The sequence below is a fragment of the Homo sapiens genome, chromosome 10 (genome assembly GCF_000001405.40).
Source record: "Homo sapiens chromosome 10, GRCh38.p14 Primary Assembly".
Classification (NCBI taxonomy): Eukaryota; Metazoa; Chordata; class Mammalia; order Primates; family Hominidae; genus Homo; species Homo sapiens.
The window spans coordinates 78901613-78924053 of record NC_000010.11 but is presented as its reverse complement, the minus strand read 5'-3'; the positions used below and the strand labels follow the sequence as shown (position 1 = coordinate 78924053).

Here is a 22441-nt window from a genome sequence, read left to right as displayed (position 1 = left end):
CACACCCCAATTTATTGCCAATCTCATAAAAAGCAAAACTTGGGAGAGAGAAGATTGAGTTTGCTTCTCGCAGCAGAATTTGATTTAGGGCCAAGAAGGTGGCAATTGCTGCAAAGCGGAGATCGGCTATTTCGGGAGTGCTGTGAATGATTTTTTTCCATCTCCAAATGACCTTACATATATTCTGTCTCTCGCCCGCCCTGTGTTGGGATTGATGGGAGTGGGGGGGTGCTGTGACTGGGCTCTGATGGGCTCCTGCTGCTGCTCCTAATAAATCTGTCTGATGGGCAGAAGGAGCACGATTACCTTGACGAATGGACAGCTGGATGGGCCGGTTGTTTAACACGCGGTTGGGGTAGATTTCTGGTTCCGCAGCTGCCTTTATGGTCAGCAGTGCACGCTCCCCTGGCCAGATGCAGGTTGTCCACCATCACCAATGGCTCTGCCTGCTGGAGGAGGTGATCTGGGCACATTTGCCTCTGAGTAGATCAAGGGGCTGCCTCCTTCACTCTCTCTGGCTCTCTGCATTCTTTGTCTCCACTGATGCCAGCTCCCCAGCTCTCCCCACGTGCCACTGCTGTCCCTGCCCTGGGACACCAGAAGGTGCCCCTGCTAGCAGTGCCCTGGGCCAGGAATCCAAAAACTTGGGTTTGGATCTCCTCCACCTCCAGCACAGTGGGCCATCCTGAGCAGGTTCCTGCTACTCTCTGAGCCTCAAATTTCTATCTGTAAAATGGGAGTGATACTAGTATAGCCACCTCCTAGGATTAGTAAGAAGCCTCTCTTCTTTCTGCCTGAGTTACTAGTCGACAGCCTTGCCTGCAATCTGGAGGGTGAGTCTCCTGGAAGGCACAGAGGTGGGTGTTTTGATGGGGGAATATTTTGATTTGGCTGCATTCATGTACCCAACTCAAAATGAAAATTGTTGATCTTTACGTCCAGGTAATGTGTCTGACAGATGTCCCTGCCCCCTCCTTGACTCTCCGCCATCCCTGCCCCCTCCCTCCTTTTAAAAAATATTTCATTCCCCATTTAATTCTCACACCATTGCCACTCCCACCCTAAGAGTGGGACCTGGTGATTGCTGCTGTACAGGTGACGGATAGAGGAAGTTGATGGTGGTCGTTTCAACACCTTCCTTGGTAACTATAAAAAAAGAGCTGAAAATAGAATGTTTGGTTTTTAGCCTGAGTCAAAGTCTCTCCACATCCACATGGCTATGTCAAAACATGGGATCAAAACCAGTCACAATATCAGGGACCTACAGGGCACACAAGGGTGGAGGTGCCACTGAGATGGAGGCCGGCTCTGTCTGCACGCTCCGGGAGCTGATTCTGTGGCAGCCCAGCAGGACTCAGACTCCTGGAGACCACTCCTGCCGGCCACCCACTAGGCAATGGTGGATTGGGAAGGCTGTGGGGTGGGGTGCTGGCTGGGGCGCAGGCGGCAGCCCTGCTTTTTCCTCCAAGTGAGCACATTGCCCCCCAAATCCTAGGATCAAATGGAAGCTGAGATTCTAGAGAGCACAGAGCTTTTCCTTTTCTTTTTTAAAGAGACAGAGTCTCACTCTGTCACCCAGGTTGCAGGAGTGCAGTGGCTCAATCATGGCTCACTGCAACCTTGAACTCCTGGGTTCAAGCCATCCTCCTACTTCAGCCTTTCTAGTAGCTGGGACTGCAGGTGCACACCACCAAACCCAGCAAATCTTTTTATTTTTTGTAGAGACAGAGTCTCAGTACATTGCCCAGGCTGGCCTCAAACTCCTGGGCTCAAGTGAGTTGCCTGCCTTGGCCTCCCAAAGTGCTGGGATTATACACATGAGCCACCGCACCTGGCCAGGGACTTTTCAAAGGATGCTTCCCCAAAGCAAGTGAGCTGGAAGAACCTAGAGAGGGGCTGGCCTGCCTCCAGCTCTCTGCTGAGCAGAAGCCCAGGAGAGAGGCTGAATGACCTTCTGAGAGCTACAGATCCAGGGAGGGGCTGAGGCAGATGGGACCCACATCCGCTTACTCAGAGTCCCCTGCTCTCATGGGAGCACACCTCACTGGACGTGGGTAGAGTCTCTGTCTTGTCAAACTCAATGTATGTCAATGTTCACATTAAAAAAGAAGTCTTGATGCTGTGAGTCTTTATGTATGAATAGGGCAAAATAGGGTCTAGCTTATAAAGAAGGAAATCGCATTGATGGTGAACCTATTGCCTGTCTGGTACTATGTGGAGCATTTTCCATGACTTCTGATATGATCCTAATGACACACAATGGAGGCATCTGCCCTTGCTCCTATTTACTGGTGAAGAAACCAAAGCTTACAAAAGTCAGTTACTTCAGAGCCACTCGGAAAGTAAGAAGAATGGAGGCAGGTCTGTTGCTGTCTTTGGCTGAGTTTAAGATCCCTGTCCTCTGGGAGCTTCCATGTTTAGGAGGGGAGACTAAACAGGAATTTCATTTCCCCAGTCCCTCCTTGGTCATTCCTGTACTTACCCTGCAAATTCTTACTGAGCAGGCACTCTATGCCAGGCACTCTTCTAGCCTCCAGGGATATAAGATATAACTAAGTACATATAACAAATAAATCTAAAATATACATAAATAAAACCATAGGTTTGGCCAGGCGTGGTGGCTCACGCCTGTAATCCCAGCACTTTGGGAAGCTGAGGCTGGTGGGTCATGAGGTCAGGAGCTCAAGACCAGCTTGGCCAAGATGGTGAAATCCCGTCCCTACTAAAAATACAAAAATTAGCTGGGCGTAGCGGCGGGCACCTGTAATCCCAGCTACTTGGAAGGCTGAGGCAGAGAATTGCTTGAACCCGGGAGGTGGAGGTTGCAGTGAGCCGAGATCGTGCCACTGCACTCCAGCCTGGGTGACAGAGCGAGACTCCATCTCAAAACAAAACAAAACAAACAAAACAAAACAAAACAAACAAACAAAAAACACCATAGGTTTAACTGAATGAGCTTGCCAATATTCTCCCATTTTGACCTACAAGAATGGTCATTTCATACAATACAACATAATAAGTCAAATATGCAGATGGTAATAAGGGCTCTGAAGAAATGTAGGGTGAGTTAGGGAGTCCAGGGCTAGAAGGGGGTCTTTCTAGCATGCTTGCCTGACCATGTCACACCCATCATCTCCATCACAAGCTCCCAGTTGTGAGGAAGGAGCCCCAAGTCCTTCCTGGGTCTTCCAGGCCCCTCGTGCTCTGGCCAATTGACCTGTGTTCCTCAGTCAGGTCCTGGGCTCCCAGAACACAGCCTGCTCTGTCTGAAGGCAGTGGGCTATGCCGGAGTCACCCTTGTGCCATTGTCTGCCGGCTCTTCAGGCCAAGCTGGGGTGTCAGCATCTCAGAAGCGCCTTCTTGAACCTTGCCTGTCCTCCCTCTCCTAGACAGTTTTAATTGCTCCCTCTCTGCATTCACACACACTTTATTACGGCACTTAGAACTGCTCTTCCCTTTAGAAGATGCCGTGATTTATTCATGGGCCTTATTAATGGTCATATTCCCAGTGGCTGGTGCGGTGCCTGGCATGCAACAAGGTGCAGGAGAGGTGTGATGAGTGAAAGGAGCGAGAGATGCTGAATGGGAGATGCAGGGAACAGACAAGCAGGAAAGTGGGGACTTAATGGAGAGGGTCAATGAGGCTGCCCTTGAGGATGGGGCATCACTCAAGGGAGAGAGGAGGTGGGGCCTGTGCTGGGCCTGCCCACAGCTGCCCACATTGCACACCTGCCCACGCCTGCCATGCCTGCACATGCTTGATCTGCCCACACCTGCTCACACCTGCTCACACTTGCCCACACCTGCTCACACTTGCCTACACCTGCTGTGCCTGCCCACACCTGCCCACACCTGCCATGTCTGGCCTGCCCACACCTGCCCTCACCTGCCCATGCCAAGCCTGCCCATACCTGTCCACACCTGCCCATGTCTGCCTATGCTTCCTATGCTGGACTTGTTTGTCCTACTGTCTTGAAGGCTCTGTGCTCACCTCCCTCCCTGCCTCTTCCCAGAGCTATCCCTAAGCGTCCTTCAGGGAGGCCTCTCCCAGTGCCTTGGATCGGGGAGCTTGTCCTGGAACGTGCTCATGGCCCAGCTCTTCTCCCCACAACCTCTTCCCAGCTGGATGTCTGCTGGGCAGTGGGTGCAGTGGCTGAGCTGATGAGTTTTGGATCAGACTACTTGTGTTTGAAGCCTGGCTGTGATCTTGGGCAAGTTGCTTGTCTTTTGTGTCATTCCTCAGTCATCCCCTATAAAATGGGGATACTCACTGTCCTGACTGCATCAGGCACCGGGAAACTGGCAGGAACTAACACACATGGCGTGACAGCCCAGAGCCAGGCATAGAGTAAGTGTGCGGCTTGTGCTGGTTCTCAGTCAGCCATGTTTGGCTGTTGGCTGAGCAGAGAGGAGACCAGTGTGACAGAACCCAGGGGACAGTCTAGATCACTAGGAGCTTGAGTGTTAGGGAGAGGCCAAGCCCTCATCTTCTGCAAGATAAAGCCCAATCTCTATCCCACAAACATTGGTGAGTGACTCTCTGCCCAGCAGGGAGCAAGGTTGCTAGAGAGACCAGAGATGCCTGGAGCCCACTTCTGGCCTCTTGCCGAAGTGCTTCTCTCTGTGAGATTACATATTCTGGGCCACATCCCTTCCATCCCCACTTACTCCCTCACTTCACTCCTTTCCTTACTCCTCCATCATAAAAGTCTCCAGAAACAGGTTTTGTTCAAAGTGAATGAGGCAATAAATTCTCTGTTTCTGACAGGCCGACAAGGGAGATAAATTCCGTAATGGGAGCTGCGGCCCTGCTCTCCTGTCCTGGTGGAGCTTTGGCTGATGGAAAGGTCTGTCCAGGGAAGGGGGTTGGGGTGGGCGGAGAAGGAGAGGGAGGCTCTGGGAGGTCCCTGGGCTACTAAGTCCTGGTGGGATTTCAGTTCTATTAATTTGCTCAATTTGCTCAGTTCTGACTTGGGTATTTGGCTAACTGACAAGCTGTGCAGGACAAGTCTCATTCATTCATTCATTCATTTCAATCAATCAACCAACCAATCACCTATCGCTCAATTCATTCAGCAGTCACCTGACATGGAGGAGAGGCATCTAATTCCTTTCAAGTATCACTTTCTTTAGGAAGCCTTACACAAAGGACCAAAAATATTTGCAACTTAAGCCATAGCAAAAGATTGATTTCCCTGGTAAATAAAGAGCTCCTACAAATCATTAAGAATAAAGATAAACAACCTAATAGGAATACAGGCAAGGGATATGAACAAATAGCTCACAAAAAAGGAATTCAGATGGCTCTCAAACTAATCATGTGTGAAAAAAGGCTCCCTCTCACTCATGATGACAGAAGTGTCCGTGGAAATGTCACAAAGATGCTGCCCCCCACCCCAGATTGCTCACGATTATGTTGCTAAGTGTGTGGGACAGACACATATTGCTGGAGGGTGGATGGAGTGTGCAGTGGTGTAAATACTATGGGGACCAATGGGACCCAGCCTGTCTGGAGGGTGATCTGGCAATATCTTGGCACTACGTGTGTCCCAGCTTCTCTACCCAGCAAATCTGCCTCTAGAAATGTATCTCACTTCTACATGTACAAGATTACTGTACAGGTGCAAGATTATTACATGAAGCATTCTCTGTATCACCAAAGATTGGGAATAGCTTAAATATCACTAGGGGGTTGGCTAAATAATTTATGGTGGATCTGTACAATTGAACACTATGCAGTCATTAAACAAAAAGGTAATGGGAGGTGTCTCTATGCACTAATATGCATGCACTGAGCTCCAATATGTATTTTTAAGTGAAAAGGACAAGGCACGCAATGAGATGGAATTCAAATTCTTCTATTATTTGTATAAAAGTGGAGAAAATGAAGATATATGTATACACATGTATAGGCTTCTATATGATTCCTCTGGAAGGATGAAGACCTGTGAACAATGGCTGCTTCTGGGGAGCAAAGCTAGACCTGGGAGGCTGAGAGGCATGGGAGGAGGGGACACCTCACTATATACCTCTTTGTGCCTTTTGGATTTTGAATATTGTGAATGTTCTGCCTATTCAAAAAAAATTTCATTAACGTTTCAAAAAGGAGAGAATCAAAGGCAAAGCCTTCCTTGGCTCTTTTAGCTGGGGCCAGAGGCTGGGAACTAAGCAGATGAGGAATGGGGGAAGGGCTTACAGGGCGGGAGGGTAAGCACCTGCAGGGATGGTGCCCAGAGGAAAGCATCGACCCCGTGACTGGGTGTAGTTGGAGCACAGTTTGGGGGAGCCTTGGTAAGAATGTAGTTGGTGAGAAATACAGGGGAAGTATCGTGTTAAAGAGTTTGGATTTCATTGCAATGAGAGGCCATTGGGATTTTAAGTAGGGACTGGACATGGTCAGGCTACATTTAAGGAAGAACTCCTGGAAGCAGTGTGGGGAGTGGTTTGGGAACTATGAATGTGCTTGATTTTCCACCTTGCCTTTACTGACATTTGCTCATTTCATCTTCAATAATTCTAATAGGTAGGTAAAAGTTATTACATAGGGGGAAACTGAGGCTCAGAAAAGTTATGTAATGGTTGAAGCTCTCAAAGTTTGGATATCAGGATTTCAACTCAGGTCTGCTTGTCTCCTGAGCCTGAGCTCTGAATATAGCCCTGTGATGTGGGGCCTTTTAGTCACACTGCCCTATATGTGCTTACAGGTCTGTGAGAATTGTGAATCCAGTGGCCAAGTGTTGTGTCCCTTTAACTTCAAGTATATGGCCAATTAGGACAATGGATGCAACCATAAAATTTGATTATATCAGCCAGCTCCCACCAACTCACTGCAAACCTCTGCCTGCTCCTTCACCAAGAGAGCTGGGGTCACTGCATACATCTCCGAAATTTATTCATTGGAATAGAAGCAGCAAACTTCCTTATGACCTGTTTTCCTCTTCTAAGCACATATCAGAGATCACTGGCAGACTTCTAACGGCTGTAGCAGGAAGAGTTAGCAGGAGGTTTCCTCTTGCTGGGGTCCAGGGGTGATACATTTGGCTCCAATTACATCCAGCCTTCTCAATTTCCTGGTCATTTGGTTTGCATTTTCCTGTCATTTCTTCACGTGCATTTTTCTATGACTCCCATTTTATAACTGTGAAAACTGAGAGTTGCACAGGCAGCAATTCACCAAAGGCCACCTGGTTTGTCAATGGTAGAATCAGGTGTTAAACCCTAGCTAGGACTCCATGTCTTTCTTCCACAGCATACTTCCTTTTCTCACCATGAGTATGGGTTTATTTGATTTTTCATGAAAAAATCCATACAGGGCTTATGATTTCTGGGTTCTTCTTGTTACGTTGCTGATGTTTTCACTGTTTGTGTCCAGGTGTCAGACCTATCAGACGCAGGGCCTTGGGGCTTCACAGGAGCCTCCTGGAGGGTGGGTCCTGGTAGCCAAGGCAGGATAATGGTCAGCTCAGGAACAAGGCCCTGCTGGTGCCTCTGTTGTGAAGGGTATCCTTCAGCTAGTTTAATTAAGAGCTGGGGGTGGGGTGCGCCAAAGAGAAGAAGGGTGCATTGTGTGGCAGGGAGCTGATGAGGTCAGCAGAGGGGGGTTGGGAGGGCCCGGGAACCAGAGGATGCTCTATCTACCTCTGGGGGTGGCCCACACTCCCAGCGCCAGCAGGTCCCCGCAGACAGGCTATGGCAGGATTGACTTCTAGGTCAGCTGCCTCCGCAAATGCTGTGACTCTCGCTGGCTAAGAATGGAATGGATTGGAATGGAATGGAATGGAAGGTCTTGAGGCTCCCTCTAAGCTCCCTCGGGCTCCTCCTAACTTTTCCCAGAGCCTGTCACCAGGGGTCACAGCTCAGTTCAACCACTCATTCACCCTGTGACCTTGGGTAACTCACATGTTTTCTGAGTCTTATTTTTTTTCACATGCAAAGTAGGAGTAAATAATGCTTATGTTTCCTGCTTCCAAAGTGCTTTGGGGAGGACCAACTGGATAAGGGGGTGAGATGCAGTTTGGAAACTGTAAAGCACTGTACAAGTGCATGCATTGACACTGCTCAAAACATAGCCATCCCTGCCCTGAATAAATCCCACCCTGAACACCATGGCTTTGCCCCGAACATCTTCTACCTCCCTTTTCCTTATGGTAATAGTAGGGTCATTTCGATGTGTTTAAAACTTCTTTAACTGAAAATACCTTATTTTTTTAAATTCCGAAAGTAACACAGGTTCATTATAAAACATTCAGGAAATACTTTGTTTTTTGAAAAATAATAGATATTTCTACCTTTGAGATTGTCACCCTGTGATTTTGGGAACACCAATTCACTTCTCTGGGTTTGATTTCCCCACCACTAGATTGAGGCTGACAAATGTGTAATGGAAGTCACTGCCTCCATTGCATCCAGCAGGCATCATTGGAGGACCATGACATTTTTTCCCAATGTGCCGGGATGTGACTCCAGAACCCTGCTCAACACAGCCTGCAGGCAGCCACTGGTGATCTATCAGAGTGGCTGGGAGAAGAGAGCTCTTGTGCACTGATGAGGGGGTGAGCGCTGATGTTTTCTGATTGCTTGGGTGAGAGGAGCCCAGGGTTCCAGGTTCCGGTGAAGAGCTTGGAGAGTCCCTCAACCTGTCCCATTACAGTAGGGAGTTTCCTCTTATCCGATTCAGGCATCACAAGCATTGTGTGGTGGATAATGGCCTCCCCTGGGGAGTTCCCTGAAAATTTTCAAGAAATTAAAAAAAAAATCTTGCAAAGTCAATGGAATGCAAGCAAGCGACTTAATAAATTCACACCCACACAAATGCTTGTGCTTCTTCATCTCAGCATGAAACTGGGTGGGGTGGAATATTTTTGAGGCTCTCACTTCCAAAGAGAGTCCGGTGTGGGGAAGGGAACAGATACCACTGAGAACCACTTTAAGGAGCTGTATTTCCCACATCCGTGGAATGCAAATTATCACAACCAACCATTTCACAGATGAGGAACCTGAGAGCTGGAGAACAGAAGTCAGTTGTCTGAGGTCATCTGGTTTGTAAGTGATAGAGCAAGGACCTGAACCCAGCTTCGGAGGGCCTTGCTTTTCCAGTGAACCCACACAACCTGCCAAGCAAAAGTCCCTACAATTTGGAATAGTTCTGTGAGGTAAAGGGTGTTTCCTTGTCTTCGGTGTTGGAAAAAAATGTAATCTCAGTATTATCACCCAGTGCCACCTCCGTGTGCCCATCCCTGAGGTGGACGTCAGACCTTCCCTCTTTGATGTACTCTCAGCTGTTGAGGTAGGAGCCAGGAAGGGCAGGAAGCCAGGAAGCTGGATTCTGGTCCAGCTAGGAGGAGCTGCTGCCCTCTGGACTTGAGTTCCTTCGTGAAGCAGCAAGGGAACACATTGGCAGCCCGGGCATGGTGGCTGAGTATGGTTTCTGGAACCAGACTGCCTGGGTTCAGTCTCCGGCTTTGCCTCATGTTAGCTGTGCAACCTTTGACCTCTCTGTGCCTCTGTTTCCTCATCTGTTAAATGAGAACACAGATACACCCTACTTCACAGGGTTGCTGTGAGGATTGAATGAGTTCATCCACAGGGAGCAACTAGAGCGGCATTGGTCTTTTGTGAGCACGCAGTACTCACTATGTACCCTGAGAAAGGAGCCAGAATCCTAGGGCTTGGAGCCATGCAAAGAGAAGTGGGGAGCGACTTGGCAAGGCGCTTGCAAGGCCCTTGCAGATTTCGCTGTGGCATACCCAGCTGGGGTAACCCCTTTAGTCTGGGGTAACCCCTTTAGTCTGGGGCTCTCTTCAGAGAAGCCGCAGAGTTTCATTCTAATATTTTGGCCCAAGTTCAACAACAAAAGCTCCTCTTCCAGGAAGCCCTCCTGGATGGGTGGACCAGTCTGCTCACTCCCTGCTACGGCTCCCAGCCCCCGCTGCTGATGCCACCCTTTGGCCTCAGACAAAGCGGGCACCAGCAGCGGCAGCAGCCGGGCCGGCTCGGTGGCTTTCATGAAGCTTGAGCTCCCGGGAGTCCAGGCTGGGCTGGTCTGCTTTGAATGCTATTTGCATTGCAATAGGCGAGCCTGGCCTTCAATACAGGCCCCTTCTCTTTTGACAGAACAGTCTCACAATCGCCTATTGACCGGGCACCTGTTCCTGCCCCAGACATTATGCAAATGCCGGCCAGGAGCGAAGCCGCCAGCCCCCCGGGCCATTGTGCATTGAACCCTGATGGCGCCCTGCCAACTCCCAGCCGGCCTTTGTTCCCTGGTTGCACTGCGCCACCCCCACCACTGCCTCCCGCCCGCCCGAGGTGCCCCGCCGAGGAGCTGCCCGCTGACAGCTACTTGGGTCCTTGCACCTGAAGAAAGGCCCTGTGGGCTGGAGGCTGAGCCCATGCTGAGGTTGGGCTTGGGCCTCCCAGGAGGCAGCTGGGCCCTTCATGTCCCCGGGGACCGCTGAGAGGGGCCTGGCAGGCGGAGGAGGGGGCAACCCGGACCATGCCATCTGGGGGAGGGGAGATTATAATAATCACTCTCACACATCTGCTGAGGGCCTTCCAGCCTGCAAAACCCTCTCGTGGCCGTTCTCCCTGCGAGGCACACCTGCCTCTCGAGGAGGTGGGCTGGGCATGGAGATTGTGTGCCTTTCACACAGGAGGGGACTTCGGTGCCCTGGGAAGGAGCTGGCTGATGTGGGGAAGAGAGTCAGGGCAGGGTGGGGGCTCACACCTGGGGCTGCCGGTGTCTCCGTCTCCCAGCCTTTGGACACTGTCCCTCCTAGTGGCTGTGACTCCTCTGAGCCACCATTGAATGCCCTGCACAGCATGGCTCCAGCCCTCTTCTCGTCCTAGTTTCTTCATCCTCCTCCTACTCTTGGCTTCACCGTCATTCAGACCAGATGGGGTTTCAAGGTGTGGTCCCAGGACCAGCAGCATCAGCATCACCCAGCACCATTTGGGGATGCCTGTCCCTGGGCCCCAGCACAGACCTGTTGAATCAGGAGCATGGGGTGGGCCCAGCTCTTTGAGCTTGGATGCACCTCCAGGTGTTCTGATGTGTGAGCAAGTGTGAGTATCCCCGACCTGGACCCTCTTCTCCATGCAAGCCTTGGTTGATGCGGTCACCCCCTACCCCTCTGCTTGCTTCTCTTCTCCTGACCACCCTTCCCACCCTCCTTCGGCTGGGCTTGTGAACATGACTGAGCCCCTGGCTGGTCCCAGGCTTAGGGCACTCCCATGAATGAGGCACATTTTGAAGAAACTCAGTCTAGTGAGGGCACAGCCAGCGCTGCCATTCTGTTCTTTCAAAGCAGAGGCTGCTGCTTTGATAGAGGGAAGTGAGGAGCGGGAGCAGGGGTGGATAGTGCACAGAGAAGGGGCACCCCACAGCCTGGGGGAATCCAGGGAGAATTCCTGGGAGAGATGGTGCCGTCACTGTACCTTCAAGGAGGAGTACGAGTATACATTAATGAATAACTCAAATAATTTTCAAATAAAAGACTATATATAGTGTGCAGCAACTGTGGGCCCAAGACCTCAGGGGAGGCCCCTGCTATGTGTGTGTGCTGCAGGTAAGTCCAGCTGCAGCGGTGGAGGAGAAAGGAGGAGAAAAAGTGATGCTGAGGCCACTAGCATGGCCCGGATGTCTTTTCACAATTTGCATGTGCTCCCATTCCAAGTGATTCAATGGAGAATCCCTGGCTACTGAGCATCCAGAAGGAGTTCCATCCTCCAAGAAGCAGGATGGGTGGGGGCTGCCATGACATCCTGGAGGTGGGGTCCCAGCATGTGAAGCCTGCTCCCGCAGGGGCACGTTTCAAACATCCTCAACAATGGAGCATTCCCACTGCTGTGGCCCCCAACCCACAGCTGTAACAACAGATGTCTTCTGCAGGGTGGTCCCCTTGGTCCCCAACTCACCCTTTACCCAGGTTGGCCACCTCTGCTCCGTATCCTTGCTCCAAAGGAGCCACCAGGTTAGGGCATAAGAGCAGGAGCTGAGCAGAGGACCAGCATGACCCTGGACACCGTCCAACATGCCCCTGCCAGCCCTTTGGCCTTGACAATCTTTCACCCGATGCCAAAGTGCTTTAAAGAGTTTGGCCCAAAGCAGGGAAATCTGATCTCATGAGAGGCCGGGGCAAGGTTTTCAGAGCCAAGTGTTGGGCTGGTCTCACGATTTGTCTTCCTCAAGTGCCGTCAGAGTGCTCCTTGCCCAAAAGACAAATCTAGAAGAAAAGTAAATAAAGTCAGCCTCCCTCAAACCACATTCTTTAGTGTGGCATTGAAGGCCCTTTAGGATCTGGCCCCAGTGCCTCTCCAGCATGCCCTGCCCTGGCCTCACCACTTTCTCATTCTGCCACACCTCCCAGGCTCTGACCCACTGGTTTCTGTCCCTGTGGAACGAAGCAGGGGCGTCATTTCCACACTCCATTCCTCTGGGTCCACTGGATTAACTTCTACTCAGGCTTGCAGACACCCCCCAGATGTCTCCTCCATTATGAAGACTTCCTAATCTATTCTATTTAAGAAAAATTTAAGCAGCACCTACCAGGCCCCAATATACTGGGCTTTGGGATGTGCTGCTGAGAGAGAAAGTGCCCTCTCTCAAGGAATCCCCAGTCTAGGGAGGAAAGAGGCCAGTGTATGAGGAGGCCTAAATGAGGGTTTAGGTGGGCATGAAGAAGGAGGGATAAAGAGAATTTAGGAAAATGGGTGGACCCCAATTAGAGGCCAGTTCAGTGAGGAGTGGTTTAAGACAAGGGGGAAGCCAAGTTTCTGGATGTGTGGGTGGTAGAGTCACCACTGAGGTGGAGAAGGTAGAGAGACAGGTTGGGATCAGATGGTAAGAGGATGAGCCAGGCTGGAGGTGCCCATGCACCAGTGGAAGGAGATGCCCACTAGGAGTGAGAGGACAGGTCTGGCATTCAGGAAGGGTGTGGGCTGGCATTGACTGCCCGGCACTAAGGCCTTGAGGTGGCAGTGGGGACTTGGGCGGGCCTTCCTGACCCCCGGGCAGGACTCACAGGCAATGTCTGCTCACCCTTTGTGCTCCCCATGTTGCATCGTCTCTGTCCTCACGGCACTGGTCACACCGTGTCATGCTCTGCCTGCCCCACTGGCATCAGGAGCCCCGGGGGAGCAGGGCTGCAAAGCCATGGTCTCTCAATGACTGGGGTCTAGTGGCTTGAGGATGCCTTGGTTCCTTTGCAGGCTCATCTTGCTTGACTCACATCTCTGCCTGTACCTTTGAGGAAATCTTTAAGAATGGCATCTAGAAAGAAAGGGACCTCTAATAAGACACATGCTGCCAGTGCCATGGTCCCCCAGCAAATCGACAGCATGCTGGGACCAGAACTGCACCGAGTGGAAGGCCATGCCATCCCCATCTCACAGAGGAGGAAACTGAGGCTCAGGAAGAAGCAGTGATGTGAGGGCACCCATGGCACTTTAAAAGGATGAAAGAAAAAGATCTAATTTTGCAAAGGGGAAATGTGATCCCAGAGTGGGGAAGCAACTCTCCCAGGTGGGCACACTGGATGAGTGGTGGAGCTAGACAGGTGACTGTGTCCTACCTCCTGTTTCACTGCCCTCCAATGCCCTGTTCTTTCTTCTTGGAGTGGTCACATCCATCCCTGGCACATGTGGGCCTTCAGGAGAAAGAGCCCACTCAGGCCTTGGCAGATGCCAGGCCCAGACACCACACTCTGCTCAAGCACCCAGTAGAATTTTCCAGTCTCTACTTGGCATTTCACAACCATTGACTAGGGATCTGTTGTATTCCCCAAGCACGGGCTGAGAATCCACTAGGTGCCAGGCACGGATGCACTTTGGTGCAAATTATCTCATGAAGCTTCCCAGTAACTTTCCAAGGCAAAAAAGCCTCCTCGCCCTTTACCAGATGTGGAAACTGAGGCTTGGATTGGTAAGCTCTAGGCTCACCCCTATTCATGGCAGGGGTGGAAGCAGGGTTTGAACCAGGGGTTTGATGTCCACTTTATTTCTCTGCCACTGAGCACAGTCTCCTAATGCCCAGCAAATCTTAAGGTGTTGATGGCTTTTATTCCTCAGGGGCTCAGGGGACTGTCTGGATACCTCTCCTTCTTCTTGGGCCCATGGCTCCTAGCTTAGGGAAGGGAGCACTGGGATTCCCTCAGTCCACAGTCTCACTTCTTGAGCTATGCTGTAGGGTTCTCACCCTTGAGTTTATTTCTGCCTGGCACAGGTGAGAGGAAGCAGCACTGAACTTGGAGCCTCAGACTTAGGTCCAGCTCTGCCACCATGTCACTGAGGGACCCTGGCAAGGCCCTTCTCCACTCTGTGGTCCCAGTTTCCTCATTTGCTCAATATTGGGTGGCATTTTATATTTGCAACAGTCACTTTCAGCTCTGGATGCCTCCTCCTTCTGTAAGCTGGCCGTCCATGGCTGCAGAAAATGACTTTCTCTCTGCAGATTTTGTAAAACGTTCCTTGGGAATTGTGATTCAGGCTGCTCCTTTCCCTGGTCCCCAGCCCTTGATTTACAATCCAGATAAATTGTATTTTCTTTGTAACTCCAGAGTAGGGTGGAGGATAATGGAGCTGGAGCCCCTTCCCTCAGCTGCCACAAGATAAAACTGCCTGGCTGAATGGGCTCTCGTAAGACCCTTCGAAGGTGGCTTAGAGCCAAGAGGGGACCTGTGGGCTCACAGCCACACTGGCCTTTGTCCCTCGAGGGCTTGTCCCCTCCCCTTGCAAGGCGTACACATTTTCTATGGTTCCCGAGTTGCCCTTTCCCTCTGGCTGGCCTGTCAGCTTCTCTTGTCAGCTCTGAAGCCCCCAGTTCTCCTTGGGGGTATGTTTGCTTAGCTTTTATATCCAGACCTAAGCTGCATTACTGAAGGCCTACTACGTGTGTCAGGCCCTGGGCCAAGTCCTTTTTATGCTTAAAAAGAAATCTTTCTCCTTCTCTCTTAATCCTCTCTTTTTCCACTGTGGGGCTGATTTATCCTTCCATTTTCCAAGGGAAGAAACTGAGGCTCGGTGGGCTGTGAACCTGAGTGACAGAGCTAAGACTAGGCACAGACCCACTGCCTTCTTCCCTTGTCACTCTGACAGTCTCCTTCTAATCCTGAAAAACGAGGGCCCCCGAATGATTTCCGTGACAGCTACTGGGCTGTTGTTGACTTCAACCACCCATGTCTGAAATATTTTTCTCAGTTTCTCAGCACCTGGGAAGGTGATGATCCCACAGTGGAGCAGCAGAAAAAGCTGTTCCCTGCTATGGCACAAATGCAACTCATTGCCCCAGTTTGAAGGACAACATTGGTTGCAGCCTTTATGTCTGGCTATGGTGCTCAGGGGATATTCCGGAAGCGGTGTTTGAACCCTGGACCTATATGTATATCTGTGGGACTCTGGGTCAGTTTCCAAGTCTCTCCATGCCTCAGCTTTCGCCTCTGTCAGACAAAGCCAACACTAGTGCCCACCGCTCAGGGTTGCTGTGAGGATTGAATATATGATGTATATAAAATGCTTCAAACGGGTTCTGGCGCATTGTAAGCATTAACTAGTGGAGGTAGATATACCGGAGTGCACTGGGGCTGAGGAGAGAGGACTGGCTTTTATTTTTCTCCTGCTGCCAGGCTCAGGGCCTGGGGCCCAGGTGGGGAGCTATGGTCTGGGGGCCTGCCTGTCCCACTTTTCCGTTCCTCTCAGTCCTGCATGGCTGTCTCTGACAGCACAAGGAGAGGAAGGAGAACCATTCCTGTGTCCTTGGTTCCCAGGAACCAGATAGAGAATCCACGTGACACCCTGAAAATTCTGCACTGTTGTTAGCCAGATCTGGTGCTCAGTGCAGCTCTTGCTGCAATGAATTCCAAATGGCACAGAGAGGCCTTGATGCTCAGGAGCAGCTCGGTGTGTGGGGACTGTGCCTTGAGCTGGCATGAGAAGCCGCAGGAGCACTGCGGCCTGCGGGGCCCACGGCTGCCGGTCCCTGCTTGCTCCACTCCTGGCCTGGCCTCTGGCACATGGTGGGGTTGTGCTCTCTGGGAAGCCAGCAGTGCAAATAACAGAGCAGAAATGTATCTGGGGGGCCCCAGCCTTGTCTGATACGCTCTCCTCTCGCTCCTCATGGCCAGAACTGAGCCCTAGAAAGCTAGGTCAGGCAGGACCCCAAGGGCAGCCAGCACCTCGGCTTGTGTCCCCTCCTGCATGGAGCAGCCTTCTTCCCTATTTTCTGCCTTCAACCAGCCTTTCCTGATCCCATCCATTGTGGCTAGGGGGCCTGCTGTGTTGAAGCCGTCACTGTCTCTGACCTCTGGTTCTTATTCTCTAGGGGAAGGCACTAGCCACACATGATGCAGCATGAGATGGGCTGTGGGCAGGAGCCTCCCTGGGCTGGATGTGCATGGGGTGCCCGGGAGGGCTTTCTGACAGGGAGGTGGGAGCTTGAATGGGATGGACAAATAAGAGTCAGCCAGGCAAACATGGCAGGGAGATAGTGTCCCAGGCCAAAAGGGCAGGGCCTGCAAGGCCAGAGAGTTGGGGCAGGGGTGGGCAGAGAGAGAGAAAGTGGAGAGGAGGAGGAGAAGAAAGAGGAAGAGGAGGAGGGAGAAAAAGAAGGAGAAGGAGAAGAAGGAGGAGAAGGAGGAGGAGGAGAGAAGCAGGAGAAGGAGAAGTGGCAGTAGCAGGCATTCCCCCCTGGCTGGGCATCATGTGTGGGGGTGTGGGTGGTGAAGATACCCTGGACTGGGGGTCAAGATGGGGGAAGATGAGTCTTGGTAGCCACACTATGGAGGTGAGATTCTACCTGGGGGCTGTGGAAGCCTGGTAAGGGTTTGTGTTAGGTGAGCAGAGTGAACTTATTCCTGCTTCCTGAGCATCATTCTGTCTTCTGTGTGGGAAGCAGTGAGGAGAAGGGAGCAAGGCTGGATGCCGGGGCGCATCTCAGAAATGCTGTTGTCAACAGGCAGGAGGGGATGCAGAGTTGGCCCAGGATGGTGGCTGTGTGGAGGGAAGGGGACAGGTAGATTTAAGAGTCATTGAAGCTTTGTGATTGAGTGAATGTGTTAACAGTGGAAAAAAGAGGGAAGGCTCAGGAGTGACACCTCTCTGCAGTACTCCTGCCAAGATTTGCAGTTGCACTTTGCATGCCTCCAGTGACAGGCAGCTCACTACCTGCTGTTTAGAAAGGTAATACTTCTGTTTAAATCTGTCTACATGTGAGTCTTAAGGCTGCAAAAATGAACATACCTCTTCTTTCATCATAGCCTTCTCGGAGTTTGAAGGCTATATAGTCATACACACCTGTTTTTTCTTGGCCATCATCATGCTTTGTTGTTGTTGTTAAGTGACTGTCCTCAGATTTCTCCATCAAGTTTGGACATATTATTATAGTCTATTTTATTTTTTAGTAAATCATACCAAATAGTACATTTACAAAGAGAATGACAAGAGCTATGTTGAGTAGAATAGCCTCATCACCCTACTCAGAGGATTCTCTTCTGGGAGACGATTCTAAAAGGAAGTTCAAATTATAATTAGATAGTCACTTGGTGAGCATGAGAACAGAGGCAGGAGAGCAAGCTCACTGATGTCAGGATGCTCAGAAAGTAAGGCCCATTGGAGGTGGCTTTCCTGGGACTTGGTCCAGAACCTGGCTTAGGGGTAAAGGTGTTTTGAAAGCCACTGATGACTCCAGGTTGCTGGCAGGGGTGCTGATGGGTGGTGGTGGTCTCTGTTTCCCAAGAGGCATCTAGGAGGGAAAGCAGGTCAGAAGTGGGTGGCAGAAGGAGATGCTGAGCTTGGGCGGGACATGAGGTGTTGGAGGTGGCTGTGATGCCCGAGGAACTACTCAGCAGGTGCACCTCCGTGCTCGGAAGCACCACCTCCCCAGTGACTGTGCAGATCCCTCCCAGGCTGCAGGGCAGCTGGCTGCACTCCAGGCCTAGGACAAAGGATCCCCGTTGCACTCCGTTGTGGGCTGCTTTGTGCAGAGGGCTTGGGGCACTCATCAGCACTGCCTGGGACCTCCTGCCGCTCGCCATTCCACAGGGCCAGGCTACGGTCCCGAGAGACTCACTTCCAGAAATCACCAGGCCTCAGGTTACCGGCACAGCCTAGGACTGCGGTGCTGCCCCTCCTGGAGTCAGCTTGGCTGATCTGGAAAAATCTGGGTCAGAGCAAGCCCAGAAAAGTTCAGGGTTCAGGGAGCTCATTGTAGCCACATAAGTTGGTGGCTGAGCAGTGCCGGGCACTGTGTGAGGCTGGAACACACAGTGCACAGATGCCCCAATCAATACTTGCTGATGCTCCTGTCGGGAAGATGGCCCTGACAGCTGTGTGACCTTAGATGAGCTCTTGAGCTCTCTGAGCCTCTCTTTCTTCATGCATCCAGATAGAAGTAATAGCTCTTGCCTTTCCCCACTCTGCCTCCTTCACAGAGTCTCTGTCAAGAGCAAACGAGGTAATAAACACGAAAGTGAGCTCTCAGCTGCATAGGCAACACCAAGTGAGAGGTAAACAAACACCCGTGGGTGAACAAAAACACACACTGGAGGGCAAAGTGGGGCAGCTCATTCACCAGGCTGCCTGTCCGGGCCTCCTGCACCATGGAGGGCTGTTCTGAAAGTGGGCTGGGCTGAGAGATGGGAGCAGGAACTGTAGGTAGGAGGGAGAAATGGGCAAGATGGGGAAGGTGAACTACACACATGCATGCACACACACACACACACACACACACACAAACACATCACACCCGATGTGGGGGGTAAGAGAGAGACAGAGACAGACACATAAAGACAAAGTCCTGAGCAACGTACACAGAGGGGAAGCCCTGACACCACATACCATGCAGACAGAGACAGAGGTGGAGGGAGAGAGAGATGAGAGAGACAGAGACAGAGAGGCACGGAGAGAGGGAGGCAGAGAGAGAGATACAGAGAAATCGTGATTCGGAGAGGAAGACAGAGACAAAGACAGAGGCATTGAGCCTGACAGCTAGACACATAGGAAAAGAGGGAGAGGGAAGCAGAGTGAGAAAAACTGAGAGAGCAGAGGAGATTCTGGGAGAGGAAGGGGACAGGGAGAATTGGGGGAAATCAAGAAGTGATAGAAAAAGAAAAGAAGACGGGCCGGATGCGGTGGCTCACGCCTGTAATCCCAGCACATTAGGAGGCCGAGATGGGCTGATCACTAGAGGTCAGGTGTTCAAGACTAGCCTTTCCAACATGGTGAAACCCTGTCTCTACTAAAAACACAAAAAATTAGCCAGGCATGGTGGTGCGTGCCTGTAATCCCAGCTACTCAGGAGGTTGAGGCATGAGACTTGCTTGAACCCGGGAAGCACAAGCTGCAGCGAGCCGAGATTGCGCCAATGCACTCCAGCCTGGGTGACTGAGTGAGACTTTGTCTCAAAAAAAAAAAAAAGAAAAAAAAAAGAGGATGAAAGACTGAAAGAGGTGGGGTGAGTGAGGGGAGGAGATGGAGCAGGGTCAGAGTGGGGCTGGGTGGGCATAGGATAGGGACCCAGTCTGAGAGTTTGCCCCTGCGGCTACTTGGGGCGTCTGTAGCCTCTGGCCCTCCACCCCTCGTGCTGGGTGTGCTCAGAGCAGGAAGCCGGGCTCCTAAGCCTACCTCCTGGGGAAAGAGTCCTACCTTGTCCCTGGGCCTGCTATTGTGGACATGCCCTAATCCTGCCCTCCAAAGAGGCTCAAGGAGGAGCCTCATGCTTTGAAGTGAAGAGGCAGGCTCTGGCCCTGGTGGAGCCTCCTCAGAGGTGGGCCTGAGAGCTGAGTTTGTCTGGAGTGGGCCATTCCCTGGATCACACCAGCTACGGGCCTTCACCAAGCTCCCCTCCTAGGCCTCAGTTTCTCCTCTGCCAAATAAGTGCTATGAGGGCCCTGTGAGGCTGACACTAAGTTCAGATTTCCAGGCAGCCTGGTTTCATGCTCTGTCTCCTTAAATGAGGGCAGTCCTGGTCTTTTCCCATTTTGCTGTGATTAAGGTTCAATTTACCTGTCTTTACAGTTCTTGTTTTCTGTGCTGGTGGCCTTTGTCTACCTGTCCCAAATCCCTTGACTTGGTGTCTCTTCCCCATATTTGGCCCAAAAAAGGCTGGGACCCTTGGTGACCCTGAAGGGTAGTATCATGTTTAGAAGGGGCTGGACTCTAGGTCCCAAGACAACTACCTGGCTGTTGTCTGGGCCCTGAAGTTCTGGAGAGAAGAGTTCTTTTATTTGTAAAGGGGAGGCCCCTGCTGAGTAAAGCATCCACATCAAGTTGTGATGGGCTGGCTGGCACTCCATGCTAAGATCATGAGAGTAGAATGGGAGTAGGGTGGGTGAAGGTCACAACATCCCTCCTCCTCTGTGCTGGAGCCCCGTCCCTCCCCAAGTGGTGGTCAGACCTCTGCAGGCAGGGCTACGGGGATGTGTTGTTCTTTCTTGTCCACCCCTGTTCATACTCTAGGCCCCTCAAGATGTGGCAGTCAGTAGCAGTCCTGGCTGGAGGGAGCTGGACCCCTTGGGTGTAGGAGTGTAGGAGCTAAGCTACCCTTTTGGCTTTTGGGGAAGAACATCCCACCCTTCTTTAACAGGGAGCACAAGAGGGCACGTCTCCTGCCCAAGGTCATGCTGCAAGGTGACGTTTTCTAGAGCCAGGGTGCAAATACTGGTCATCTGACTTGAGTATGCTGAGGACAGTGGCCTGCTCCAAGGGTCTGTTTCATCAAGAAGGGATGCCTTTCCTGAGGAGTGAAACATGGAGGTACTGGGTGCAGCGAATTCTTAGAGCAGAGTGGAAGGGAGGTCTAGGCGGAAAATGATAACATTGATCTTCAGCCCCAAATCCAACTCAAAAAGCAGAATGAGCCCAAGTCAACTTCTGCTGATTTCCTCTGCCTGGTACAGAGCCTGGCACTTAGTGGGGGCACAGTAAAAGTTTGTGAGTGAGTGAATGGATTCACCCACCATCCGGATAGTCTGGACATGGCACCAAAGGTGGGGAGCTCAGGCACTGGGAGGCAGCACCGTGGCTTAGGCTTCTGGGTGCTGTGACTTCTCTGCTGTCTCCTGCAGCACAACTTGGGAGGGCCGGGTAAGAGTGGCTGTGTTTGAGGAGGAACCAGGAGAGATAGATCTTCCTTTTTTCACAGAATGGGCACTATGCTTCTTCTATCCTCTGAGTTTGGTACAGGGGAATGGCTGATTTGGATGTGGGCTGGGCTCTGGTTGAAGGATACACAGGCTGGTATTACACAGTTAAAAAGTATTCCTTCCTCATTTCCCCTGCCTCTGTTCTTGCCAGCTATCACAATTTATCAGATTCTCTTTAGGCTCCTGCCCTGTGCCAGACCAGCCCTGGGATGGGACAGTGGCAAGGCTGGTATCAAGAAGAGCAATGTTGTTCACAGACCACCATGCTCTCTGTCTAATGGTGGGAGGGGTGTTATTGTAATCATAAGATTATTGGGAGTGTTCATGTGACTGGATACTTGGGTGGGGGTTAGGGCAAGGGCTCAGGATCCCAGGTGGGGAGACTGACCCTTTCTTCCTGGAGGATCTGGGCCTTGAGGGATTAGTAGGATTCAGAAGTCAGAGAAGAGGATGGGAATTTCAGACTGAGAGAAGAGCATGTACTGAGACAGGGGAAAGATGTGATATGTTCACGAAGGTGTTGGGTGGGGCTGAGCCCTGTGTTGTTGGGATAAGGGTGGAGCCTGGTGGGAGATGAGTTTGGAGCACTAGATTGGAGTCAGATTGTAAATGGCCAAATGCTAAAATATGTGACCTTTGCTCTGAGGGGAGAGGGAAGTTACAAAGCGTAATGATCATGACTGTGTCTGGGATTCAGGAACAGCAACTATGCCAGGTAGAAGGTTGACAAGCAAGGGCATGTACAGATGATGGGAGACCTAGGAAGAGGCAGGGATAATAATAACTTGGATGAAGACAGTGATGGAAGAGGCATGGATAATAATCATATGGATGAAGATAGTGATGGTGGTGAAGATGGTGATGATGATGATGTCTATGTGATGCTAAAATGGTGGTGGTGATGATGATTGTAATGATGATAATAATGGTGATGGTGAGGATAATAATGGTGATGGTGATGATAGCAGTTATAAGGATGGTGAGATGGTGGTAAAGATGACTGTGATAATGATGTTGATGTTTGTGGTGGGAATGATAGTGGTAATAGTGGTGATGATGGCAGTGATGTTGATGATGACAGTTATGTGATGGTAATATGGTGGTGGTGATAATTATAATGATGGTGATGATCTTGATTATAATGGTGAAGGTGATGATGATAGTTACGATGGTGGGATGGTGGTGAAAATGGTTATGATGATGATATTGATGGTGGTGGTGGGAATGATGATGGTTATGTGATGGTAAGATGGTGGTGATGGTGATGGTGGTGATGATGATGGTGATGATGATAGTTATAATGATGG

General features: G+C 51.1%; 6 annotated features.

Moving 5' to 3' along the window:
- Positions 7117-7616: an enhancer, noted in NCBI's record as "H3K4me1 hESC enhancer chr10:80676195-80676694 (GRCh37/hg19 assembly coordinates)". NCBI's record gives its function as "activates a minimal SCP1, AML or CMV promoter by ChIP-STARR-seq in primed H9 embryonic stem cells {active_cell/tissue: H9 hESC(primed)}" and the evidence as "EXISTENCE:reporter gene assay evidence [ECO:0000049][PMID:30033119]".
- Positions 7617-8118: an enhancer, noted in NCBI's record as "H3K4me1 hESC enhancer chr10:80675693-80676194 (GRCh37/hg19 assembly coordinates)". NCBI's record gives its function as "activates a minimal SCP1, AML or CMV promoter by ChIP-STARR-seq in primed H9 embryonic stem cells {active_cell/tissue: H9 hESC(primed)}" and the evidence as "EXISTENCE:reporter gene assay evidence [ECO:0000049][PMID:30033119]".
- Positions 9751-10271: an enhancer, noted in NCBI's record as "OCT4-NANOG-H3K27ac-H3K4me1 hESC enhancer chr10:80673540-80674060 (GRCh37/hg19 assembly coordinates)". NCBI's record gives its function as "activates a minimal SCP1, AML or CMV promoter by ChIP-STARR-seq in primed H9 embryonic stem cells {active_cell/tissue: H9 hESC(primed)}" and the evidence as "EXISTENCE:reporter gene assay evidence [ECO:0000049][PMID:30033119]".
- Positions 10272-10791: an enhancer, noted in NCBI's record as "OCT4-NANOG-H3K4me1 hESC enhancer chr10:80673020-80673539 (GRCh37/hg19 assembly coordinates)". NCBI's record gives its function as "activates a minimal SCP1, AML or CMV promoter by ChIP-STARR-seq in naive H9 embryonic stem cells {active_cell/tissue: H9 hESC(naive)}" and the evidence as "EXISTENCE:reporter gene assay evidence [ECO:0000049][PMID:30033119]".
- Positions 12536-13040: an enhancer, noted in NCBI's record as "H3K4me1 hESC enhancer chr10:80670771-80671275 (GRCh37/hg19 assembly coordinates)". NCBI's record gives its function as "activates a minimal SCP1, AML or CMV promoter by ChIP-STARR-seq in naive H9 embryonic stem cells {active_cell/tissue: H9 hESC(naive)}" and the evidence as "EXISTENCE:reporter gene assay evidence [ECO:0000049][PMID:30033119]".
- Positions 13041-13545: an enhancer, noted in NCBI's record as "H3K4me1 hESC enhancer chr10:80670266-80670770 (GRCh37/hg19 assembly coordinates)". NCBI's record gives its function as "activates a minimal SCP1, AML or CMV promoter by ChIP-STARR-seq in naive H9 embryonic stem cells {active_cell/tissue: H9 hESC(naive)}" and the evidence as "EXISTENCE:reporter gene assay evidence [ECO:0000049][PMID:30033119]".